Here is a 27,025-nt window from a genome sequence, read left to right on the forward strand (position 1 = left end):
TTTATAGGGGCCCCTACAAACCAAACTGATCAAAATTAATCAAATCAAAATTTAGGCAAGATAGATAGTTCAACAGTATTTGAGTCAAATTGGTCATAGTCTGTTCAGGGAATGATGGTGATTAAGGACCATAGTTTACTGTAGAATGATCTGATTTCAAAAGGTATCCAAGTTTGTGACCAGCCTGGGCAACATAAGGAGACCCCCGTCTATATAAAACATAAAAGTAGCTGAGCATGGTGGCGTACACCTGTAGCCCCAGGTACTTGTGAGGCTAGGGTGGGAGGATTGGATTGCTTGAGCCCAGGATTTTGAAGCTGTAGTAAGCTATGTTCATGCCACTGCACTCCAGCCTGAGTGACAGAGCAAGACTCTGTCTCTAAAAAATAAAATACAGTTTTTTTTAGATAATCCAATATTGTTGTTAGCCTGATAACACAGGTCATAGTAACCTAGAGACCCACAAGAAGAAACATAGAGATTAGAAATTTTTCTAATTTCTAATTAAGAATTAATTAATTCTAATTAAAAATTAGAAAAAGATGCTCATAAAGAGGCTTCATTTTTGGTGTATAATTTTGTGATAATACTACCTATATTTAAATATGTATATTTAAAAGTGTACAGTCATGTGCTGCATAATGACATTTTGGTCAACAATGGACCACATATATGACAAAGGTTTCATAAGATTATGATACCGGATTTTTACTGTACCTTTTCTATGCTTACATACACAACTGCTTACCATTGTGTTACAGTTGCCAACACTATTCATTGCAGTAACATGCGGTACTGGTTTATAGCCTAGGAACAATAGGCTATACCATATAGCCTATGTGTGTAATAGGCTATATCATCTAGGTTTGTGTGAGTACACTCTGTGATGTTCACACAGGAATGAAATCAGGTAACAACATATTTCTCAGAACTGTCATTAAGGGATGCATGACTGTTATTAAGCAATGCATGACTATATCTATATTTACATGTAAGTGGAAATATATATATTTCAAAGGAGAAAGTCTAGATGATTTAAACTTTTTGTTTTATTTTTAATTTACCACTTACATATTCCAACTAATTGAGATAATTATGTGGGAAACCTCTTGATAATAATAGAAAACAATTTTTGGACGTTTGTAATATTAAACTATTTTTTAGTCTTGTTTTTCTTTTTTAAAGATAATTATGACTTGGAGCCTGCATCTGAATTAGGAGAAGATTTATTGAAGCTTTATGTGAAACCTTGTTGCCCAGATATTGATATTTTTGTTGATGGAAAACGTTTTAAAGCTCACAGGTAAATAGACACGACTGATTTGCTGTCTTGGTTGTGGCTGTAGAGTGTGGAAGGGCAGCTGTCTCTTACCAGCACGGTGGTTTTCAAACTCTGGTTTTCACACAGGCCACAGGGGTTCCATGAAGGCCAAAGGGGTTCCACTGTGATTCCTCAGGGGGAGTCCAACAGGGGAAGAGGTTGACCATCAGGCAAGGTTTTCTGCAGGTTTTCACACGTGCATACGTTGGCCTACCCAGACATGTGCATGTATATGTTTCTGCCAGAGCAGATCTCATCTATGTTCTGCATTGGGCATGAACCTAAGATTTTATTAGAAGAAAATGTTCTGTTGCCTAAAATAGATTTGAAAGCCACTGTCATAGAAAATGTAGTTAAATGCAGTTTTTAATTTTATAGGCATTATAGTATTGAGAAGTATTATTTCTACATGAATGACATGTATTTTCTCTGAATGCATTTTGGCTCAGATTCCGTGATTCAAAATAGTTGATACTCATGAATAGCATTGATTAGGAGGTTTAATATTTCAATGTACTTTTTAAAAACCATTGTTCTGCTTCAGAATTGGGTTGCTTAGACATTCCAGGCGTTTAGATTTCAAATTAAAGCCGGTTGCCTGTTTTAGTCAGGCTCTTTGATTGCAAGTAACTAAAATCTGCTTAAAAGCAGAAAAAAATTTAATAAGAAATACATATTATCTTTTGGAACTCAAGGGAAAGAAGTGCAGCTGGGTCTCACTATGGACTAGAATCTGAACCAGAAAACTTAGGAACCCAGCCAGTTCTTCCTCCTCTTTGTGTTTCAAATAGAAGGTTGATAAGAAGTTATTCTGGCGCTACTGAACAGAAAGAGCCAGAGTATTTGCAGTGGCAAGTGGTAATCTTCTAGGTTCAGGGGTGCACAGCCCTTAATGAAATTAGCAGTGGGTTTAGGTTACTGTAATCCACCAAGCCAAATAGTAGTAATATTTGTACTCTTAGAAATCACGCTGGTTTTGCCAGTTGACAGCAATACAACCCAAGGATTGCTAGTCTGAACTAGCTATTTACTATTCAAAATTTGAACTTTTCTCTATGGGACTGTGTACTTTGTAAATATACATATACGTATTTTCCTAATTTTTGTGAAATCTGCATTAAAGGTTGCAAAATTCAGAATATAATGTAGATTGAACATTATATTTTCCGTATCATGGGTATATTTCCTAAATCATGGTGTGGGTGTAGGTGTGTGTCTCTCTGTCTTGTTTTCTTTTTTTTTTTTTTTAACCAACACAATTGTATTTTAAAAATTAATTTTATTTTGTGTCCACGTTTTTCATGAGACCATGTGGGCATCCTACCAAAGTTATAGAGCCCTATAGCTATTGCTGTCATACAGGGAAGGCAGGACCCTGTGACCATTTCCAATATGTCCTCAAACAGTGCCTATATTTGGCCTCTCCCTGTGTGCTGCCTGACAATGAACTAACAGGACTGTGTTTTAGGAGCTGGACCTAGAATATTAGGTTTGTATTCTAGGACAGCTCTTGCTCACATTTCTGGTTTATTTTGTTCACCTAGCAGTAAAAAAGAAATTCATATTAACTAGAAAGACAATAAGTTTTCCTACTTTTTTCTTGCCCTTATGTAAGTTAGAATAGCCAATTTTAAATTATAAGGTTACCTTCCTAGTCCAGACTCAAACATCTTTCTGTTTATAGTACATATTAATTTTATTATGTAGTTTAAGGAATATTGTGTCAGTAGTTCAGATAATACATATTCATCTAAAGCCCAACATTGGAACTTTCTCAATTACTTCTTGTTCTAGATGATCATTGTCAGCATTCTTCTAGTGGTGTGGCTAAAAATCCTTTTGTAATATGGCTACTTTAATTTTTTAATTATACATACTTATATATTAAAAGATCAATACAAGTACTTACAAAGGACCAGGATTTATGACTGGAATTTTATTCAGTTTAGGTATCAACATTTTTAAAACCTTAGTTTGCTAGTTTAATGTGCCCAAATTGGTATGGTCTTCTATTAAGCTAATATTTCATGGTCAAGTTACTTCCTCAGTAACACCCCTCATAACACAGGTCTTCCAAGGTAGTCTCTCCAGTTGCTCTGTCCATTCTTTACCATGATCCTCAGCCCAATCCCCGGAACACTTTCTATGCTGAAAGACAGTCTGATGCCATTCACTTGCTTGTGGTGGCACAACTAAGCCAAAGAAATCATTTCTAACAGAGTGGTTAAGAGTGTGTGGACTGTGGGGACAATCTGCATGCGTTTTAATTCCATGTCCACCATTATTAGCTGTGTGAATTTGAGTAAGTCACTTAACCATTCATTCTGCGTTTCAGCATCCTTATCAGAGATGGGGATTATAACAGTCTCCATCTCATAATGTGATTGTGAGAATTAAATTACAGTTGTTACTGAGCACTCATTGGGCTTACTACCTGATTAGCCTTCATGGATTCCATTAGTTATGTTACTACTTTTCTGAATATTGTATCCTGGGATGCTACTGCACATTACCCCTTGTTGTGGACCTCTGTAACATTATCTTCCTGCCTGAAATGCTCTCAGTTGCCATATGAATACCATCTGGGATCTCGGCTCACTGCAAGCTCCGCCTCCCGGGTTCACACCATTCTCCTGCCTCAGCCTCCCAAGTACCTGGGACTACAGGCATCTGCCACCACGCCTGGCTAATTTTTTGTATTTTTTAGTAGAGACAGGGTTTCACTGTGTTTGCCAGGATGGTCTCGATCTCCTGACCTTGTGATCCGCCCACCTCGGCCTCCCAAAGTGCTGGGATTACAGTCGTGAGCTACCGCACCTGGCTGCTGACTTCCCATTTTTTAATGTAATTTATTATTTTAATGTTTTATGAAAGAAGTTGAATGTTATATTTTTAAGATAATTTGTTGCACTTCTATGTTCCATAATTAAAATTCTCTTATGCTGCCTCGTTGAAAAAGCAGAGCAGTCATTCCTTTTTTTTTTTTTCCTAAGACAAAGTCTTGCTCTTTTGCCGAGGCTGGAGTGCAGTGGCGTAATCTTAGCTCACTGCAACCTCTGCCCCCCGGGTTCAAGGGATTCTCACGTCTCACCCTCCCGAGTAGCTGGGTTTACAGGCGCACACCACCACGCTTGGCTCATTTTTGTGCTTTTTAGTAGAGACAGGGTTTCACCATGTTGGCCAGGCTGGTCTCAAACTCCTGACCTCGAGTAATCTGCCCACCTCAGCCTCCCAAAGTGCTAGGATTACAGGTGTGAGCCACTGCACCTGGCCCCATCATTTCTAACTTGAGCTTTGTGACACTCAAAATCTGGTATATCTTCCAGAATACCTTTCTTATCAATGCCTGATAATATACCATTAGACATTCATTCATTTGGTTAAGATGTCAAATCTTCCTTTAATATCTCTCTGAATATTTAGTAAATTGGCACTGTGTCCGAAGATCATTGTTTTGTATGTCCTTGAAAAAGCTAAAAGTTTTTTCAGAAGTGGTATGATTTAGTAATTGAGAAGTTGGTCTTTTTGCGTTTAGATTATGATCCCACCGCTTATTTTTAAAATTCCACCACTTATTAATTGTTGAGAAGTTACTTAATCTCTCCAAGTTTCAATATTTTTATCTGTAAAAGGAATAGTAGTAGAAATTATAGCATGGGTGGCTGTGAAGATTGAATCAGATAATGCACATGAAGCACTTAGCATAGTACCTGGCACATTGTAAGCTTTCAAAAGTAAATGTTAGTTGCTATAAGTGTGTGATAGATATCTGTAAGACTGGCACATATGTTGCCTGTTCTAGCTTGTCTTATATCAGGGGGCAAACTATGGCCTAAATGTGGTTAAGTGGCCTGTTTTTGTATGAGGCAACAAAAAAGCAGAGACAAGTAATGCCACAGGGACCTGCAAGTCTAAAGTGCCTTTCAAGAGTCACTTGGGTTTGTTCCCAAACCTGCGTATGCCATTTGAATTTATTATTTTGATGACAATGAATATAAGTCAATGATACATAAAATATGAAAGAGAAAAGTTATTGTTCCAGTGAAAACTCGGATGAGTGCTTTGGGGGGATTAAATAAGGGAAAGGCACTTAAAAAATTGCTGTTGTGAACAGGTGCAGTGATTCACACCTGTTATCCCAGCACTCTGGGAGGCTGAGACGAGAGGATCACTTGAACCAGGGAGTTTGAGACCAGCCTAAGCAACAAAGCAAGACCCCATCTCTACAAAAAAATTTAGCTGGGCATGGTGGTGTGCACCTGTAGTCTCAGCTAATCGGGAGGCTGAGGTGGGAGGATCATTTGAGCCTAGGTGTTTGAGGTTGCAATGAGCCAGTGAGTGCCATTGCATTCCAGCCTTGGGAACAGAACAAGACCCTGTCTCAAAAAAAATTAAAATCAAACTAGGTATCATAGTGTATATATGTATTGTTTTTGTGAAAATGAGGCTTATATCAGCAAACCCATGTTAAAAAAAAGATGGGCCTTATGATAAAAGATTTGTGAATTAAATGCATATTTCTTCTTAAGTTAGAGTAAAATTATAGTATACAAAAATAGCTTTTTTAATTCCTCATTTTTTTCAATTAACTAAACAACTATTAGTCCAAATTTTGTCGGATAATAGAGTATCCATGGCACTTAACTTCAGAAAGTCCAGTCCTATGAAAGCTATAGTCAATGGATGTCACAAAATTCTCAAGAGAAGGTTAACTTTGCTTTTACAAAGTTATGTTCTCTAAAGTATTTGATAAGAAGTGACATGGACAATAGTGATTACTCCAAAAATTTAGATTCACCACTCTGGATTTAATCCTTACTCAGTTATGTGGAATTAAAGCAAATAAATAAATAAATACATTCTTAGAGCAAGAATACTTTAAAAATTAGTCCTACTAAAATTTCCTTCTCTAGAGCTTCTCTGCATAATCCAGGCCATTATTCTGCCTGGAGTAGTGAATCTAGTTCAGCTAACATTAGGAAGTATTGAATAGCAGTGTACTAAAGCAGCAGCAAGGCGGAAATTAGGGCATCTTGATAGAGCCAGAAGCAGCATTAACAGTTGAAATTAAACTTAATCAAAAGGAGAAAATAGTTTTTGGCATGTTGGAAAATAACAAATTTGGCAAAGATTTTTAATACACCATACCATCTACAGCATTATTTTTAAACCTGAGGCATGTGTCCTAATTAAGTAGGAATGTTTTCTAAGTTTCTGTTTTAAGGTCAGAGTAATTGTTTAAGCCTCAGATGCTTCTAATTTTACTAAAATGGAAATGGCTGACATGCTGTGTTCAAGTCTTCTGAGAAGTAGACACAAAGATGGGATTAGACTTTCAAGAAATGTATTAGGCTAAATGTATGTGAGAGAACATAGGGAGAAAGCCAGAGAAAACAGAGCTGCTAGACTGCAACGCTGATTTGACTCTGAGTGAAGGAGAAAGAGAAGGAAGTTAGATAGAAGCATCTTAGACTGCAGTGGAGTTCCAAGAAAAGTTGGGCAAGGCCATTATTGGAAAGTTCCCATGCCAAAGGCACCCATCAGAGAAGCGCCTGTTTTCTAGGGCTAGACCTGCCTTATTGTCCTTGCTGGCCTCAGTCATTGTCAGGAAGTAGCTTCTGGTGAGATGACCTTGTGACCTAGGTGGAATAAATTTCCGAGTGCTGTAGCTGAAGCTATCAGTCATTATGCAGTCAAAGATTAGAGGGGTAGGCCCGGTGCGGTGGCTCACGCCTGTAATCCCAGCACTTTGGGAGGCCGAGGCGGGCGGATCATGAGGTCAGGAGATTGAGACCATCCTGGCTAACTCGGTGAAACCCTGTCTCTACTAAAAATACAAAAAATTAACCAGGCGCAGTGGCATGTGCCTGTAGTCCCAGTTACTCAGGAGGCTAAGGCAGGAGAATCGCTTGAATCCAGGAGGCGGAGGTTGCAGTGACCCGAGATCACGTCACTGCACTCCAGCCTGGACGACAGAGTGAGACTCCGTCTCAAAAAAAAAAAAAAAAAAAGATTAGAGGGGTATATTCTCATGACTGCTACACATATAAATCATGACATGCTATGTATTCATATACCTTTACCACTAGGCATAGTCAGATAAAGTAAGAAATAATTGTTAAAAAAAACACTTATTATTTGCTAAGTATTGTGGTGCTGAGATTGGGATTCATAAAGAAATGAATGAAGCACTGAGGATTAAATGGATTATCTATCGATATTCAACAGTGTGAAAGAAAAGACTGCCATGGAAAAAAGTCCTGGCAGATATCCAATAAACTGCTAAAAGTGGTTATTTCTAGGTCATGGAATTGAAGTAAATGAAGAAGCAGGGTGAGAACTTAAAATTTTCACTTTATCCAATTCTATATTGAAGTTTATTACAAACATATTGTTTTTATAATTTAAAAAAGTTTTTAAAATCTGGCTTTCCATTTTTAAGGAAAGAATTACAGACTAAAAATTTTTTATTCTGTGCTTGCTTCGGCAGCACACATAATTTTTTTTATCTGTTCAAATAGGCTCAATCATACTATGAGGTCACTATCTTTGTCCTCTTTTATAGAAAAATAAAAACTATATAGCAAACTTAGTACATTAAATATTCATTTGATTGTCAGGGTCCCTGAGATCCCTCCTTCTTCAGGGGGTCTGGTGTACAAACTGTGAGGAGGGGAGATTCTCAGTGTGTTTGGAGGACTGAGTGTGGCAGGGACTCCCCAACAATTGAACACTTCTCTCTTCCTCTCATGCTCTTGCTGGGGCTGGTGGTCCAGGGGATCTTACTCTTTGGAGGCCATGTGGACCATGAAACCCACCACCCTGTTGCTGTAGCCAAATTCATTGTCATGCTGGGAAATGAGCTTGACAAAGTGGTCATTAGGGCAATGCCAGCCCCAGCACTGAAGGTGGAAGAGTTGGTGTCACTGTTAAAGTTGGAGGAGACAATCTGGTGCTCATTGTAGCCCCAGATGCCCTTGAGGGCCCCCTCTGATGCTGCTTTACCACCTTGATGTCATCATATTTGGCTGGTTTCTCCAGAGAGCAGGTCAGGTTCATGACTAACATGTTGGCAGTGGGGACATGAAAGGCCACGCCATTGAGCTTCCTGTTCGACTTGGGGATGACCTTGCCCACAGCCTTGGCAGCACCAGTAGATAGATGCAGGGATGATGTTCTGGAGAGCCCCATAGCCATCACACCACAGTTTCCCAGAGGGGCCATCCACAGTCTTCTAGATGGCAGTGATGGCATGGACTGTGATCCTGATTCCTCCCATGATGCCAGAGTTGTTATGGATGATCTTGACCAGGGAGCTAAGCAGTTGGTGGTACAGGAGACATTGCTGATGATCTTGAGGTTTTTATACTTCTTATGGCTCATGCCCATCACGAACATGGGGGCATCAGCAGAGGGGGCAGAGGTAATGACCCTTTTGGCTCCACCCTCTAAGTGAGCCCCAGCCTTCTCCACGGTAGTGAAGATGCCAGTGGACTCCATAACATAATCAGCACCAGCGTCATCCTGTTTGATTTTGGTGGGATCTCGCTCCTGGAAGATGGTGATGGGATTTCCATTGATGTCAAGCTTCCTGTTTTCAGCCTTGACGATGCCGTGGAACTTGGCCATGGGTGGAATCATACTGGAACATGTAGACCATGTAGTTGAGGTCAGTGAAGGGGTCATTGATGGTAACAGCATCTACTTTGCTAGAGTTAAAAGCAGCCCTGATTACCAGGCACCCAATATAGCCAATTCCATTTACTCTGGGCTTCACTTTTACCATGATGTCTCAGGGACATGACTGGTGCTGCCCAAGAACGGAAGGAGCAGATGGCAAGGTTCTGTCACTTTTTCTCTTCCTTTTGCTTACTTTAGGTTTAATTTATGCTGCCATTTATACTTTCTTAAGATGGAATTCTAGATCATTAATATGAAACGTTTTTCCTTTTCTACAATAAGCATTTAAAAGCTAAACATTTCCTAAGCACTGCTTAGCTGTAGCCTACAAATTTTGATATATTGTATTTTCACTCAAATAAATGTATTTTCTAATTTTCCTTTTGATTTCTTCTTTACCCATGGGTTGTCTAGACGTATGTTTAATTTCAACTGTTTGGGAATTTTCCAGATAATTCTCCATTATTGATTTCTAGTTTAATTCCATGGTGGTCATAGAACATATTTTATATTATTTTAGTTTTGTTTAAATTTATTGAGACTTTTCGATGGCCCAGAATATGGTCTGTGTTAGTGAATGTTCCACATGTACTTAAAAAGAATATGTGTTCTGTTGTCCTGTGGTGGAGTGTTCTATAAATGAAAAAATTGGTTGATAGTGTTGCTCAAGTTTTATGTATCCTTAGCTGAATTTTTGTCTACCTATCCTATTAATTACTGATGGAGTATTGAAGTCTCCAAGTATCATTATAAATTTATTTCTCCTTTTAGTTCTGTCAGTTTTTGCTTCATGTATTTTGGAGCTCTATTATTTGTTACATACACATTTGGGATTGTTATTTCTTCATAATGAATTGAGTCCTTTTTATTATGAAATGTTGCTTTTTACCCCAGGTAATGTCACTTGTTGTGAAGTTTACTTTGGTTAATATCACCACTCCAGCTTTCTTATGATTAGTGTTTATGTGGTATTCTTTTTATATCCTTTAACTTCTAAACTTTGTCTTTATATTTAAAATTAATTTCTTTTAGATAGCAAATAGTTATGTCTTGCTTTTGCTATCCAGTCTCATAATCTCCTTTTAATTGGAGTAGACTATTTGACTATTTGTAATAATGTAGTTATTAATATGTTTGAGTGTAAGTCTACCATTGTACTTTTTTTTTTTTTATTGGATCACTCTCTGTTGCCCAGGCTGGAGTGCAGTGATACGATCATAGCTTCTGTAACCTTGAACTGCTGGGCTCAAGTGATCCTCTGGCCTCAGCCTCCTGAGTAGCTGGGACTGCAGGCATTTGCCATCATACTCAGCTAATTTAAAAAATTTTTTGTAGAGATGGGTTCTCGCATTATTGCTCAGGCTGGTCTTGAACTCCTGGCAGAAGGGAATCCTTCTGCCTCAGCCTCCCAAATTGCTGGGATTACAGGTGTGACCTACCATACTCAGCCCTAAAATGCTTTGTCTGTTAATTCCATCTTCTCTTGTCATTTCTGGGTCTGATAATATTGACTGATTTTTTCCCTCTTTTAATGTTCACATTTTGCTGCTGCTTCACATTACCTAATAAGTTTTTAATCAAATGCCAGACATTATAAATATTATGTTTTTGAATGTTTGAACTTTATTGTTTTTCTTGAAAAAGATTATTAAAGGTTTTTTTTTTAGCAGGCATTTAAGTTATTGTGGATCAGCTTCATGTTTATGAAGCTTCTTTTTAAATTTTGTTAGGGTGCATCTAGGATAGCCTTTGCTCTAAATGTTGTAAAGCCTTTCTACTGAGGCTTCTGGGATCTTTTCTTAGTGCCCCAAGTATTCAGTTCTGGCCGGAAGGAACTTGAATATCTGTCAGCCATATAGCTTCCTGGCTTTTATTCTTTGCCAGGCTTTGTGTAGTTTTACCTTATGCACACTCAAATTATATTCAGCCAAAGCTCAAGGGAGGGAGTATCTACTCTGATTTCTGCAGTTCTTCATGACTCCCTCTTCTATATTACTGCACCTCACAAATTTCAGCTGACTCAGCTTCTTGGGTCTCCTATATCATCTCCTCAGCTCAGCTAAGCCACAAGGCTCTGCTCGTTTGTCCTTCCTGTGCATTGACTAGAAACTGCTTCTAGGAAGAAAAGCATTGTGATTGTAGAGCTTACTTCATTTGTTTTTCTTCTCTTGTGGATCAGAGTCCTGTACTGCCTTTTTCCATGGTCATATTTTGTTCAATTTTCTAATTATTAAATGGAAGGTAGGGAAGTCCTATACTTATGGGTAGAAGCAGAATCCTAATTTTTTCTTAGTTGGCCTTATTTTTTAGAACAGTTCCAGATTTATGGACAAATTAAAAGAGTACAGTATTCTCGTATACCCCCACACCTAGTTCCTCATTATTAACATCTTATAGTACATTTGTTACAATTGAGTCAATATCAATACATTGTTATTAACTAAAGTCTGTAGTATATTCAGATTTCCTTGGTTTTTACCTAGTGTCCTTTTGTATTTGAGGAATCAATCCCCGATCTCACATTATGCTTAGTTGTCCTGTCTCCTTAGGCTCCTCTTGGCTGTAACAGTTTTTCAGACTTTCTTTTTTTTTTTTTTTTTTTTGATGACATTCCAGTTTGAGGAGTACTGGTCAGGTATTTTATAGAAATTCCCTTAAATGGAGTTTATCTGATGTTTTTCTCACAATTTCATGGATTATGGGTTTGGGACAGGAAGACCACAAAGATAAAGGGCCATTTTCATTATATCATATTAAAGGTACATGTGATCAACATGACATCACTGTTTATGTTAACCTTGATGATGACCTTGTTTTCATCTGGTTTCTCCACTATAAGTTACTCCTCTCCTCACTTCCCATTTCCAGACTCTGCTCTCTGGAAGGAAGTCACTGTGTGTAGCCCATATTTAAGTGATAGAAAGTAATGTTCTACCTCCTTGAACCAGGGGTATTATCCACATAAATTATTTGGAATTCTTCTGCACAAAAAACTTACCTCTTCTCCTCTACATATTAATTTATTCAATCACTTACATATATCAGTGTAGACTCATAGATACTTATTTTGTACTTTAGCTTATAATTTGGCTTTTCTTTCTTTCTTTTTTTTTTTTTTTTTGCTCTATTTGTTACAACTTTAGCTGTGGGAGCTCTTTCAGGTGGCTCTTGTGTCCCTTTTACTCCCTCAGTGTGTGTGTGTCTGTGTGTGTGTGTGTGTTGAGCATTTTCTTACTTTCTGGCACTGAAAGATATATCTGGTATAAAAGACAAACGATACACCTATCTACATGGGGCACTTACTGTGAATAGAACTTGCAGGACTGGAAGTTGCTTTCGGTGAGTCATTGAGTGAGTGGTGGGTGAATGTGAAGGCTCAGTTCATTACTGTACACTACTGTAGACTTTATAAATACTAAGGATACACACGAAATTTATTTTAAAAAACTATCTTCAATAATTAACCTTGGCTTATTGTAACTTTTCATTTTATAAACTTTTTAATTTTTTGAAACTTTTTACTCTTTTGTAATCACACTTAGCTTAATCACAAACATGTATAGCTGTACAAATTTTTTTCTTTTTTTCTTTTTTTTTTTTTTTTGAGACAGGGTCTTGCTCTGTCATCCAGGCTGGAGTACAGTGACGCGATCATGGGTCACTGCAGCCTTGACCTCTCTAGCTCCAGTGATCCTCCCACCTCAGCCTCTTGAGTAGCTGGGACCACAGGTGCACGCCACCACACCCAGCTAATTTTTGTATTTTTTGTAGAGACAAGTTCTTCCTGCGCTGGCCAGGCCAGTTTCACACGCCTGGGCTCAAACAGTCCTCCTGCCTCAATCTCCCCAAGTGCTAGGATTGCAGGTGTGAGCTGCCACATCTGGCTTTTTACTTTGTATCCTTATTCTATAAGCTCTTTTCTTTTCTTTTTTCTTTTTTTTTTTTGAGACGGAGTCTCGCTCTGTTGCCCAGGCTGGAGTGCAGTGGCGCGATCTCGGCTCACTGCAAGCTCCGCCTTCCGGGTTCACGCCGTTCTCCTGCCTCAGCATCCCGAGTAGCTGGGACTACAGGTGCCCGTCACCGAATTTTTTTTGTATTTTTAGTAGAGATGGGGTTTCACCGTGATCTCGATTTCCCGACTTCATGATCTGCCCGAGGGATTACAGGCGTGAGCCACTGCACCCGGCCCTTTTCTTTTTTTTTTTTTTTTTTTTTTTTTGAGACGGAGTCTCACTCTATTGCCCAGGCTGGAGTGCAATGGCGCTATCTTGGCTCGCTGCAACCTCTACCTCCTGGGTTCAAGCAATTCGCCTGCCTCAGCCTCTCGAGTAGCTGGGATTGCAGGCATGCACCACCACGCCCGGCTAATTTTTTGTATTTTAGTGGAGATGGGGTTTCACCATCTCTAACTTGAACTCCTGATCTCAAGTGATCCACCCGCCTCGGCCTTCAAAAGTGCTAGGATTACAGGTGTGAGCCACCGCGCCTGGCCTATACGCTTTTTTCTGTTAAAAAATATTTTTAAGTTTTTAAACTTTTGTTAAAAATTGAGACAGAAGCAAACACATTACTTACTAGGCCTACACAGAGCCAGGATTATCAGTATCAATCCCTTCCGCCTCCACATCATGTCCCACTGGAAGGTCTTCGGGGCAGTAACGGACATGGAGCTGTTATCTCCTAACATGCCTTCTTCTGGAATACCTCCTGAAAGACCTGCCTGAGGCTATTTAACAGTTAACTTTTTTTTTATATGTAAGTAGGAGTACTCTAAAATAACAATATAAAATGTAGTACAATAAAATAATAAGCCAGTAACGTAGTTGTTTATTATCAAGTATGTACTGTACATAATTGTATATGCTAGACTTTTATACAGCTGGCAGCACAGTAGGTTTATTTATACCAGCACCTCCACAAACATGTGAGTAATGCTTTGCACTTGACCTTCTGTCAGCTATGACATCCCTAGGTTGCAGGATTTTTCAGCTTCATTATAATCTTATGGGACCATCTTCATATGTGAGTGGTCTCTTGACCCAAACATTGTTATGTAGCACATGACTGTAAATTTTGGAATCACCTTGTCAGTATTTACAAAATAGCTTTCTGAGATTTAGTGGCAGGATCTCAGCTCACTCCTACCTGCACCTCCCAGGTTCAAGCGATTCTTATGCCTCAGCCTCCCAAGTAACTGGGATTATAGACGTGCACCACCAAGCATGGCTAATTTTTGTATTTTTAGTAGAGACAGGGTTTTGCCACATTGGCCAGGCTGGTCTCAAACTCCTGGCCTCATGTGATCTGCCCGCCTCAGCCTCCCCCAGAGTGCTGGGATTACAGGTATGAGCCACTGCGCCTGGCCAAAATTGCCTAAATTTTTAAAATCCTAAATTGGTGTTGAATTTTGTCAAATGCTTTCCTGCATTGATTTTGATGATCACTTGATTTTTCTCCATTCTTTTGTTAATGTGCTAAATTATGTTGCTTAATTTTTGAATGAAAAAATAATCTTACATTCCTGAAATAATTTCGGTTTGGTTGTGATGTTTTATTCATTCTATTTCGTGCTGAATTCAGTTTGCTAATATTTTGTTTAGGAATTTTGCATCTATGTTCATGAGACAGATCGGCCTGTAATTTTACTTTTTTGTAATGTCCTTGTCAGGTTTAGGCCTCAAAGTTATGTTGACTTTATAAAATGAACTGTGAAGTATTTCCTCTTTTTTATGCTTTAGTTTGAGTAAGATTGATTTTTTTTAAAACTTATGTCGTCCTTAAATATTTATTAGAATTCACTAGGGAAGTTATCTTGGCCTGTTACTTTCTTTCTTGAGTAAATTTTGTTTTCATTCTTTTTTTATAGTTAAGTATATTGAGTTAGAATGCATACACAAACAAATGCACACAACTTAAAGTCCAGTTCTATGAATTTTGACTAATGTATAAACCTGTTTAACTTCCACTGTAAGCAAAATATAGTGAATTTTCGTCAACTAAAAAGTCCCCTTGTACCCATTTACCTTCAGTACCTATCCCTACCCCAGCCACAGGCAACAAATGATTTTCATGTGCTTATTTGCCATCTGTATACCTCTTTGGTTAGTTTTCTGTTTATATCTTTTGCCCATTTATTTTTTTATTTTTTTTTTTTTGAGACAGAGTCTTGCTATGTTACCCAGGCAGGTCTTGAGCTCCTGGGCTTAAGGGATCCTCCCGCCTCAGCCTCCCAAGTAGTTGGGACTACAGGCACACACTACTACTCTTGGTTTGCCTATTTTTAAATCAGGTTGTTTGTTTTCTTATTATTGTGTTCTCTACACTGTAGGATATTCTACCTTTCCTAGAATTTCATGTAAATGGACTCAGACATACTGTTGTGTCTGGCCTCTTTTGTTCAGTGTAATGTTTTTGAGCTTCATCCTTGCATGTTATGTGTATCAGTGATTGATTCAATTTTTATTGCTGCATAGTATTGGATTGTATAGCTATACCACAATTTGTTTATTCATTCTCCTGTTGATGGAATATTGGTTGTTTCCAGTATTTAGCTATTATTATTATTATTTTTTTTTTTTGAGACGGAGTCTTGCTCTGTCACCAGGCTGGAGTGCAGTGGTGCAATCTCGGCTCACTGCAACCTCCGCTTCCCAGGTTCAAACGATTCTCCTGCCTCAGCCTCCTGAGTAGCTGGGACTACAGGTTTGTGCCACCACGCCCAGCTAATTTTTATATTTTTAGTAGAGACGGGATTTCACCATGTTGGCCAGGATGGTCTTGATCTCTTGACCTCGTGATCTGCCCACCTTGGCCTCCCAAAGTGCTGGGATTACAGGCGTGAGCCACCGCGCCTGGTCTTTTTTGTTTGTTTTGTTCTTTTTTTAGACAGAGTCTCACTCTGTAGCCCAGGCTGGAGTGCAGTGGCATGATCTCGGCTCACTACAAGCCTGCGCCCCTCAGGTTCAAGAGATTCTTGTGCCCCAGCCTCCTGAGTAGCTGGGGTTACAGGCGTGTGCCACCATGCCTGGCTAATTTTTGTACTTGTAGTAGAGACTGGGTTTTGCCATGTTGGCCAGGCTGGTCTTGAACTCTTGACCTCAAGTGATCTTCCTGCCTTGGCCTCCCAAAGTGTTGGGATTACAAGCGTGAGCCACCACACCCGGCCAGGGATGTCATTTTTTATAACTAGCCATAAACTTTAGCTTTGAAGTAAAACTATTTCTAGCAAGTGATTCTTACCTGATATTTTTTGTTGTTCTTGCCCATATTTTAATTGGGTTGTGTTATTATGGTTCTCTATGTATTCTAGATTTAAGTTTTTGTATATGGTGTGAGGCAAGTGTCAAGTTTAATTTTTTTTCTACAAACATCCTGTTGTTCCAGTACCTTTTGATGATAAGACTGTCTTTTCCCCCATTGAATTATCTTAACGCCCTCATGAAAAGCAATTGGCCATATGTATGTGGATCTACTTTTGGACTCTCAATTCTGTTCCAGTGATTTATATGTCCACCCTTATGTCAATACCACATTATTTTGATTATTGCTGCTTTATAGTAAGTGACATCATGTTGCCTGAAATCACGTTTTCCACCTTTATTCTTCTGTTGATGGTTGCTTTGGCAATTAGGGGTCCTTTGCATTTTCGTAGACATTTTAGAATCAACTTATCTATTGCTACTAAAAATGCTTGATTGGGATTGTGGTAAATCTAGAAACTAATTTAGGAAGAATGGTCATATTAACAGTTTCAAGTTTCAGATCCATGAGCATATTTTCACTCTCCATTAGGTCTTTTAAAATTTATCCTAGCAGTGTTTTATGGTTTTTACTGTAGAGGTCTTACACATTTTGTTACATTTGTTGCTATGTGTTTGACCTTTTTTGATACTAGTGTAAATGGAAATTTTTTCTTTTATGTTCTAGTTGTTCATTATTACACTAAATCATCTTTGGGTGACTACTAAACATTCTATTGAAAATTTGTGAATGGCGTGAACCCGGGAGGTGGAGCTTGCAGTGAGCCAAGATCGCGCCACTGCACTCCAGCCTGGGCGACAGAGCAAGACTCCGTCTCAAAAAAAAAAAAAAAAAAAAGAAAATTTGTAGAAATAATTTGACACTCAAGGTGATATTTTAATGCAGACAGGATTTCCTTTTGCTTTTGTCTGGCTGGCAGACTAGATGCTGATCACTTTGTTCCAGTCAGGAACCGAGATAATTCAAAACTGGCTTTCAAGTCTAATAAGGGCTTGTCTATTTCCTGTTCACTCTTCTGTTTAGAATGTGGCCGTTCGGGATCCAACTGAAATCCTGGGTTATCTACTAAAACCCCTCCTCTTTGATGGTCCCCAAGTTCCAATTTGTGTGAAGATTGCCAGAAGCTATACTCAGCTTCTCAGCCTTCCAGCTGTTGCTTTTGCTTTCAGATTTGGCAATTGCCTCAATGGAAAAAGTTACCTCAAATACTTGGGTGGCTTCTTTTGTCTTCTGTCTCATAACTTGTGTAACTTTTCTAATCACTGTGGCAGTGTTCTGATGCCTTGAAAGCATGCTTTCCTTTTTTTTGCTTCTTTTCTTAAATATATATATTTTGTCCATCTTTCCTAAGCTGCTTTCAGCAGGAGGGTTGATCTGAGACAACCTAGGAAGCCATTCCAGAAGTGTCTTTCTCTTCTGCCTGTCCTCCACCCTTCATTGGAATATAATATTGTTCCGTGTATCTCATTTACTGCTGTACTCCCAGCACTTAGAATAGTGCGGAGCACAGAATAGAATATCTGTTGGATTAAAGATGAGGCTAGCCAGGAGTTTGAGGCTGCAGTGGGCTATGATTGTGCTACTGCACTCCAGGCTGGGTGAAAGAGCAAGAGACTCTGTCTGTAGTAAAAGAAAAAGAAAGAGTGAGGGTGAGCGCAGTGATTTAACACCTGTAATCTCAGCACTTTGAGAGGCTGGGACAGGAGGGTCACTGGAGCCCAGGTGTTTGAGATTAGCTAGAGCAACATAGTAAGACTCTGTCTCTCTATATATGTTTTAAATTTATTTTTAAAGAATGAATTAATTAGCATTTTATTTGAGAAGATAGAATGGTAATTCAAAAGAAAATATCTTTCTTGTCATTTTTTCAAACCTAAGATATATCCTTTCTTGAACATAATTATGGTGAGTTTTGAACTAGAACTCCGGACCTTTAGAATTGTAAGCTCTTTTTTTAAAATTTAAAAATATTTTTAATTTAGAGTTGTCCCTATTTTTATTTTTATTTTCTAAGATATTGTGGAATGTATTTTTTATTTAAAAATGTTTAATTGACAAACAGTAATTATAGTCTCTTATTGATATTTCCTTAAGATTTAAAGTAACATCTTTGGTCTTTGTTTCTCCATTTGTAAATGATTTATTCCTCTTACTCATGGACATAGTTTCCATTGTTGTTAATTAAAGAGCCTTTGAGAGGCATTGAGGGAGGTTGGAGGCAGAGTAGGGTGGACAGAGGAGCAGAGGAGAGAAGAGGGAAGCTCATGAAAGCCACGTGGAGAGGGAGTGAAGAGCAGAAGAAAGAATAGAGGGGACCTGAGACACTCAGAGAGAGACAGAACCATGGCGTCTGGTGACACTGCTGCCAGAGAGGAGGAGCATAGCCTTTGAGAATGTGAGCTCTACCTCCAGAAGCACAACATTCAGGCACTGCTCAAAGATTCTATTGTGCAGTTATGTACTGCTCAACCCGAGGGACTAATGGCATTCCTCAGGGAACACTTTGAGAGGCTGGAGAAGGAGGAGGCAAAACAAATTCACAATCTGCAGGAAGCAGGCACTTGTACAGAATTCAGGAGAATGAAATCTCTCCTCCTCCACCCAACCCAGTGGTTAAAGATCAGAGGTGACAAGGTACCGTCAGCACTGAAGTCTACATGGAGGAAGATGCCACATCATATGTTAGAAAGATTATACCAAAAGATTATAAGATTATACCAAAAGCCATTATAAGGCAATGTCTTTAGCCAAAGCCATTGAAAAGAATGTGCTGATTTCACATCTTGATGATAATGAGAGAAGTGATATATTTGATGCCATATTTCCATGTCTCCTTTATCACTGGAGAGAGACAGTGATTCTGCAAGGTGATGAAGGGGATAACTTCTAGGTGATTGAGCAAGGAGAGAGGGATGTCTGTGTCAATGATGAATGAGCAACCAGTGTTGAAGAAGGAGGGAGCTTTGGAGAATTTGTTTTGATTTATGGAACACCTAGAGTAGCCACTGTCAAAGCAAAGGCAAATGTGAAATGGTAGTGTATCAACCGAGGCAGCTGTAGAAGAATCCATATGGGAAGCACACTGAGAATGTGGAAGATGTATGAGGAATTCCTTAGTAAAGTGTCTATTTTAGAGTCTCTGGATAAGTGAAAGCATCTTACGGTAGCTGATACATGGGAACCAGTCAAGTTTGAAGATTGGCAGAAGATTGTGGTGCAGGGAGAACCAGGGGATGAGTTCCTTATTATTCTAGAGGGGCCAGCTGCTATGCTGCAACGTTGATAAGAAAATGAAGAGTTTGTTGAAGTGGGAAGATTGGGGCCTTCTGATTATTTTGGTGAATTTGCATTCCTGATGAATCACCCTCCTGCTGCCACAGTGGTTGTACATGGCCCCTTGAAGTACATTAAGCTGGACCAGCCTAGATTTGAATGTGCTCTTGCCCAGGCTCAGACCTCCTCAAACGAAACATCCAGCAGTACAACAGTTTTGTGTCACTGTCTGAAATCTGCCTCTTGGGCCTCCCTTTTCTCCTCTCCTCAATCCTCTTCACTCATGCAGACCGCTTTATTTTCGCTATTTGCAGTGCCAAATGGACACTGGCATCACAGCTTCTTGTCTGTTTATATATTAAAAGTTGCACTTATTGTACGGTTTTTAATTTGGAGCAGTAATTAAATGCTTGTACACAATTAAATAGAGTTTTATGGAGTCTTTGCTGTTACTGCTTCATTTTGGGCAATGTTAGCATTCAACCTCTGAGCAGTGAGTGCCATGCTTTTGGGTGAAGGCAGATCCCAGCATCAGTTGAATTACCATAGAGTAATGATGTAACAGTGTAAGATTTTTTTTTAACTGACATAACTTTCCGGTTTTAAGCATATTTAGACTGTGGCTATATATGCTGTATTTCTTTACAGAATAAATGATTTCTCATTAAGCTTTAAGGATTAGGAAAAATGGATACAGAAAAATCTTAATATAGTAGAAAAACATCTGCCTGTAATTAAACTAGTTTAACAGTGGAAAAATGCTCATTTTTCCACTCTTAAATTATCAGTGGGTATGATAAGTTTAGTTTCTTTTTTTAACCAGAATTTTTGTTTGCCAAGCTAATTTGCCTGGTTTTGTTTATATCTTGTTATTAACGTTTTCCCTCCAGTTCTGAAATATTTTTAGATGTGGCTATCTATACCTGCCTTTTAAGTTTGGAACCAAATCATAGACTGCGAATATTGGTTATGATTTAACTACATCTGCCTCTGCTCACAAATTCTGATTAGACCTTTATCCAGCTAGTGCCAAATATTGATCATATGCTGAATTGAGGATCAGAATTCGAGGTCTACACTCCTGGTTGTTAATTTAGAGCTTTTGGTTAATGTACCTCCTTCAGTTGACTCTAGTATGATCTCCTATGCTTATCAAGCTGATTCCAGGAGATTGAATTTGCTACAACTAGATTCAGTTGGAACGAAAGTCATAACAGAAATGGAGGTGATATTGCTAAAGGGAGAAGTGTCAAGCTGACAAAGTTCAGTGTCTGGAGTTTTTCCCCACTAAATTCACTGGGACATGAGATTTTGGAAGTTTTTGTTTGTTTGTTTGTTTGTTTGTTTGTTTGTTTGTTTTGAGACAGAGTCTTGCTCTGTCACCCAGGCTGGAGTGCAGTGGTGTGATCTCTGCTCACTGCAACCTCGGCCTCCTGGGTTCAAGTGACTCTCCCGAGTAGCAGGGACTACAGGCACAGCCACCACGCCCAGCTAATTTTTGTATTTTTAGTAGAGGTGGGCTTTTACCATGTTGGCCAGGCTAGTCATGAACTGCTGACTTCAAGTGATCCGCCCGCCATGGCCTCCCAAAGTGTTGGGATTACAGGTGTGAGCCACCGTGCCCGACCGAAGCTTTTTACTTTAGCCTTTGTTCCTTCCTTTTTATTTCAACTAGAATTTCTGGTGGGTTGTGGGTAGGGTATGGTGTGTCTGTGTTTTTCAAATTGGTATAAAAGGCCATCCTGCTACAAGTCCTACTTTCCTATCTGGCATTTATTTCTCTAGCAAACTTTTTAAAAAGTGAACTTATGTTTTGAGTCTGAACTGTATTTCAATATTTTCTAGCCTTACGAGTTACATTATTCCAATGATACCCAACAGTTTATTTTTATTTTTTTTTTGAGGCGGAGTTTCGCTCTTGTTGCCCAGGCTGGAGTGCGGTGGTGCGATCTCGGCTCACTGCAACCTCCACCTCCTGGGTTCAAGCCATTCTCCTGCCTCAGCCTCCCGAGTAGTTGGGATTACAGGCACCCGCCACCACACCTGAATAATTTTTTTTTTTTTGAGACACAGTCTTGCTCTGTCGCCCAGGCTGGAGTGCAGTGGTGCAATCTCGGCTCACTGCAAGCTCCGCCTCCTGGGTTCACGCCATTCTCTTGACTTAGTCTCCCGAGTAGCTGGGACAACAGGCGCCTGTCACCACGCCCGGCTAATTTTTTGTGTTTTTGGTAGAGACAGGGTTTCACCATGTTAGCCAGGATGGTCTCGATCTCCTGACCTCGTGATCTGCCTGCCTTAGCCTCCCAAAGTGCTGGGATTACAGGCGTGAGCCACCGCGCCCGGCCATTTTTTTGTATTTTTTTTTTTAGCACAGACAGGGTTTCATCATATTGGCCAGGCTGGTCTTGAACTCCCGACCTCAGGTGATCCACCCGCCTCGGCCTCCCAAAGTGCTGAGATGACAGGCGTGAGTCACCGTGCCTGGCCTATTATTTTTTAAATAGAATTTCATAGTTCTGTAATGTAGGCATTTATTTCCATTATGATTTACATGTAATGTAGGGATATATTTGGGAGTGACAGCAAGCATTTTTCCATCTGCGTGCAACTGGCTCTGATTATTGGTCACCTCTCCTACCCTTTCCCAGGTCGTTTAAATTGGTCATGGTAGGTTTTTTGTTTTTTGGTTTTTTTTTCATTGATTTGAAAAGGTTTTAGATTGTTACTAAGTATGAAGTGTAAATCTGGGAAAGAGCCTTGATTTACACTTTAGTATGAGATAGAAGGCCACCTTGTTAAAAATTTTTAAATTTCCAAAATAATCCATATTAAATTAGGGTTTGCTGATCAGTACTTTGTCTTTAGCTACCTTTTTATATTTAAAAAATTAAATATCAATTATGTTTTTATAAGCTTAAAAAATTAAAGAACCTTCAAAGAAAAAAAAAGACAGCAAGGGCATTGGAATTAATGTTTTAAACAATCAAAATGCTTAGTTATAAATCCCAGCACTTCAGGAATAGGGGGATTGCTTGAGGTCTAGAGTTTGAGACCAGTCTGGACAACATAGTGAGACCCCATTTCTACAAAAAATTTAAAAATCAAGTTGAGTGTGATACTGCATGCCTGTAGTGTTAGCTTCTTGGGAGGCTGAGGTGGGAGGATCATACGTGAGTCTAGGAGTTCAGGGCTGTAGTAAGCTATGATCACGCCACTGCATTCCAGCCAGGGTGACAGAGGAAGATCCTGTCTCTTAAAACAAAAAACAAAAAAAAAACCCTTAGGTATAAATATAAGCTTATAAGTTTTATTATGTAGTAATCCTGCCTATGAATACAAACAAAACAAATAGATTATTGTGTTTTAATACATAAAGATGAAAATTTTCATAAAAAATTACATTTTGAATAATATGTAAATGTTTACCTGTGTTTCTCCCCCCTCTTCCCTTTAGGGCCATTTTGAGTGCCAGATCTAGTTATTTTGCTGCAATGCTGAGTGGCTGTTGGGCTGAAAGCTCCCAAGAGTACGTTACTCTTCAAGGGTAAGCATATTTTTACAGGGCCATTTGACTGCAAATGATTGTAAATTGTATTTCATACAAAGCACTTTTTATGAATCTGATTTCCCTGGATGTTCAAGGAAATATTTCTCATGTAGAATTCAACAAAGTACATTTTCTGAAACGGGAAGTAATAGAGAGCATTTATTAATAGAGGTATTGTGTTAATCTGCTTATGCTTCTGTAACAGAATATCCAAACTGGGTGATTTAAACAACAGGTATTTATTTTCTCACGGTTCTGGAAACTGGAAGTTCAAGATAAACATGCCAGCAGTTTTGGTGTCTGATGAGGGCTCTGCCCCTGGGTTGCATTCTGCCGCCTTCTTGCTGTACACTCATGTGGCCTTTCCTTGGTGCGTGCACTTGGAGAGAGAGTTTTATGGTATTTCTTCTTATAAGGAAACGAATCCTATCAGATCAAGGACCCATGTGACCTCATTTAACCTTAATTACTTTCTCAGAGGCCCCATCTCTAAATATGACCACACTGGGGGTTAGGGCTTTACCATATGAATTTGGAGGGAACACAGACATTTCAGTTCATAACAGGTAGTTTTTAAATTTTTCTTTTATTTTTATTTTTTTGAGATGGGATCTTGCTGTGTTGCCCAGGCTGGAGTGCAGTGACACAATCATGGCTCAGGAGTTTGAGGCTGCAGTGGGCCATGATTATACCACTACATTCCAGCCTGGGTAACAGAGCCAAACCCTGTCTCAAAAAAAATATATATATATATATATTTACACACACACACACACACACACACACACATATACGCACACACACATATATATACACACAGTATATATTTTATATAACTTAAAGTATCTCCAGTTATCTCAAAAGGATCTTAATTGTTTAAACTGTTAATATGCAAAGCAAATATTTACATTCAATTTCTTTTTTTTGTTTGTTTTTTGAGATGGAGTCTCATTCGGTCACCCAGGCTGGAGTCAAGTGGTGGGATCTCAGCTCACTGCAACCTCCAGCTGCCTCCCAGGTTCAAGTGATTTTCCTGCCTCAGCCTCCTGAGTAGCTGGGATTACAGGCATGCGCCACCACGCCTGGCTAATTTTTGTATTTTTAGTAGAAATGGGGTTTTGCCATGTTGGCCAGGCTGGCCTTGAACTCCTGACCTCAAGTAATTCACCTTGCCTTGGCATCCCAAAGTGTTGGGATTACAGGCGTGAGCTACTGCGCTTGGCCTACGTTCAAGTTTTTAAATACTAATATAACACTTTTAGGAAGGGATATTACAAAATCAAATTAATAGCAGTTCATAAATAAAGAGGTAGAAATCACTGACCTTGCCAGAAGGACTATGCTGGAGACATTTCCAAAGAAGGTTTTCCTCTTTGAGAGAGGAGATCTTCAGAAATATACATTTAGAGACTAGATATACAAATTGGCTGTTCAATGGTCTTTATTAAGTGTATAAAGAGAAATTAAACTCTTCAACCTAACTGAGAAATAAGTGTGCTTAGAAACGTCCAAAACACAAAACATGAAAATACATGGCGTGGGCAATACATAGCAAAGATATGTAACAACAAGAGAAGTGAGTTGTTTTCACTACTTGTATCTACCTTTTATTTGTTTTCATTTATTATTCTATATATGTGCTTTTAAAAAATACATTATGTAGGGCGGGCACGGTGGCTCCCACCTGTAATCCCAGCATTTCAGGAGGCCAGGGCGAGTGGATCACCAGAGGTCAGGAGTTCAGGACCAGCCTGACCAACATGGTGAAACCACGTCTCTACTAAAAATACAAAAATTAGCTGGGCATGATGGCACGTGCCTGTAATCCCAGCTACTCAGGAGGCTGAGGCAGGAGAATCGCTTGAACTGGGGAGGCAGAGGTTGCAGTGAGCTGAGATCGTGCCACTGCACTCCAGCCTGGGCGACAGAGCGAGACTCTGTCTCAAAAAAAAAAAAAAAACCACACACATTATGTAATGATGATCTAATTAAATTCTCTCTTTTTATGTGAGGTCAACATAGGGCCTCAAGTGATCCTCCTGCCTCAGCCTCCCAAGTAGCTGGGACTATAGATGTGTACTCCCACACCTTGCTAGTTTTTATAATTTTTAGTAGAGGTGAGGTCTCATCGTGTTGCCCAGGCCAGTCTCAAACTCTTGATCTCAAGTGATCCTCCCACCTTGGCCTCCCAAAGTACTGGGATTATAGATGTTAGCCACCGGACCCAGCTTAAATCACATTTGTCAAATCATAATTCAGAGTTCATTCTACCACAGTCATTGAAGAAATTTAAAAGTTTTCCGATTGGTATGTGTTCTTGAGCTAGCTCAGACTGCTCTTCTTCTCCACTGTGTAAATCTTTGTCCCACAGAACCCTAAAGTTCCTAGTAGGCACATTAGGAGAAACACATGGCATAGGATTGGGATCTTAGGGGAAGGCCATTTGGAAAGGGATGCCTCTTCAACTTCTATCTGTTTTATATAGTTCAAGGTGACCTCTGAGTTTAGCTATATGAATAAAGGCAAGGGGGTGTCCTTTTTTTTTTTTCAGTCTTCCTTAATCACCCCTCATGAGCTGATGAGATTAAACATTCAAACACTCAGGCTTTTAAAGATGAGGTCTATTTATTAATAGACCAGTGGGCAGAGGTCAGTGGGCAAGAAAGAAATAGTGACATCAATTACTCGTCTCTACTCTTTCACCTGTAATTTTCTGTCTTTAATTTATAATGGAAGTAATGGATAAATAACCCCTTTTGCAGTGTGGCTAGACTCCTGTTGACCAACTTTAGTAGCTTGTTCAAGGGAAAGCCAAATAGAAGTAGCCCAGTTAGTTTCAAAATGTCATCTGAATAAGTAGACCATACACTGTATTAGTGCCAGGCATGACCAGGCTCACCCCTCTTACAGTATTTTCCCTTAACTTTTACTGTAAGCAAGGCTTTGCTTCTCACTGGTTCATTTTACCTAGAGCTGCTTTATTAACAGTGGAGGCTCACCTCTAATTGGCTTATTGACTCCTAATGTTAATGCATTGAAAATGAAGATACTTTTGTTGTTGTTGTTCAAATGCTTTATCTTGCTTGATAAAGCAAGGTTCTGTAACACTAAAAGAAGAATCACCTGGTGGATGCATGGTTTCATCTATACCCTTTATTATTATTATCACACAGTGCTATGATATATTTTGCCTTTCCCTGTTGTATCATGTATCAAATTGATTGTCTCAAATTATTAGCATTGTGGCATATAAAGCTGTTGGAAGGCTAAAGGGGATTAAGGAATTTTACTTTAAAAAATTACATCTTTTAGGAATTTGTATATTGAAACAATACACAAAACAAATTCCAGTTTCCCATTAACTTACATTGTAAACCTGGGCAGATGTTTCCATGAGAAGTGTGGTGTCATAGAAGGATCATAAACCTTGGTGTCCTTACAGGCAGTAGTATATCCAGTCCTAACTTGTTTTATGACTTTGGGGACATTCCTTAACTTTCCTGAGCTTCCTGAGGTGGTTGAAAGTATTAAATGAGATACAGTAAGGAAAGAAACTGGCATAGTATGTAGTGCTCATTAATATTGACTGTTCTTTCTTTCTCTAAATTAGATTGTTGTCATTTTCTAGAGAGAAAAGGGTTCAAGTGAGGGCCTTTCCCAATACCAGGACAGCAATGCTTACTTTGCATAACCAGCAGCTTCTTTTGGAACTGTGCCACTGTTGCATGTCTGCAGGATGTTTTCCATCAATAGATTCGAAGACAATCCTGTCTGTCCTTACAGAAGGAACCACCATATTTTTAGTGAGTTAGTAATTCACCAGATACTGAGAACATAATGCACATAGTATTTTTCAAGAGGAACTGCCTTCAATAATTTGAGTGTGGGGACAGCAGAATTCTATAATCTGGCCGGGCACAGTGGCTCACGCCTGTAATCCCAGC

General features: G+C 39.1%; 1 protein-coding gene and 2 pseudogenes across 5 annotated transcripts in view; 2 read left to right on the forward strand and 1 right to left on the reverse strand.

The window, feature by feature from the left end:
- The window catches only part of BTBD8 (BTB domain containing 8), a 104,379-nt gene that overhangs the window by 26,354 nt on the left and 51,000 nt on the right, over positions 1-27,025 (forward strand). For all 5 annotated transcript variants that reach the window (XM_047418461.1, NM_001376131.1, XM_047418464.1 and 2 more), the window contains exons 4-5: positions 1,186-1,303; positions 22,989-23,078. In XM_047418461.1, coding sequence (XP_047274417.1) covers positions 1,186-1,303; positions 22,989-23,078 — 208 coding nt within the window. The remainder of the gene's footprint in view (positions 1-1,185; positions 1,304-22,988; positions 23,079-27,025) is intronic.
- Positions 7,941-9,134, reverse strand: GAPDHP46 (glyceraldehyde 3 phosphate dehydrogenase pseudogene 46; annotated as a pseudogene).
- Positions 18,599-19,603, forward strand: PRKAR1AP1 (protein kinase cAMP-dependent type I regulatory subunit alpha pseudogene 1; annotated as a pseudogene).

The sequence above is a fragment of the Homo sapiens genome, chromosome 1 (genome assembly GCF_000001405.40).
Source record: "Homo sapiens chromosome 1, GRCh38.p14 Primary Assembly".
Lineage (NCBI taxonomy): Eukaryota > Metazoa > Chordata > Mammalia > Primates > Hominidae > Homo > Homo sapiens.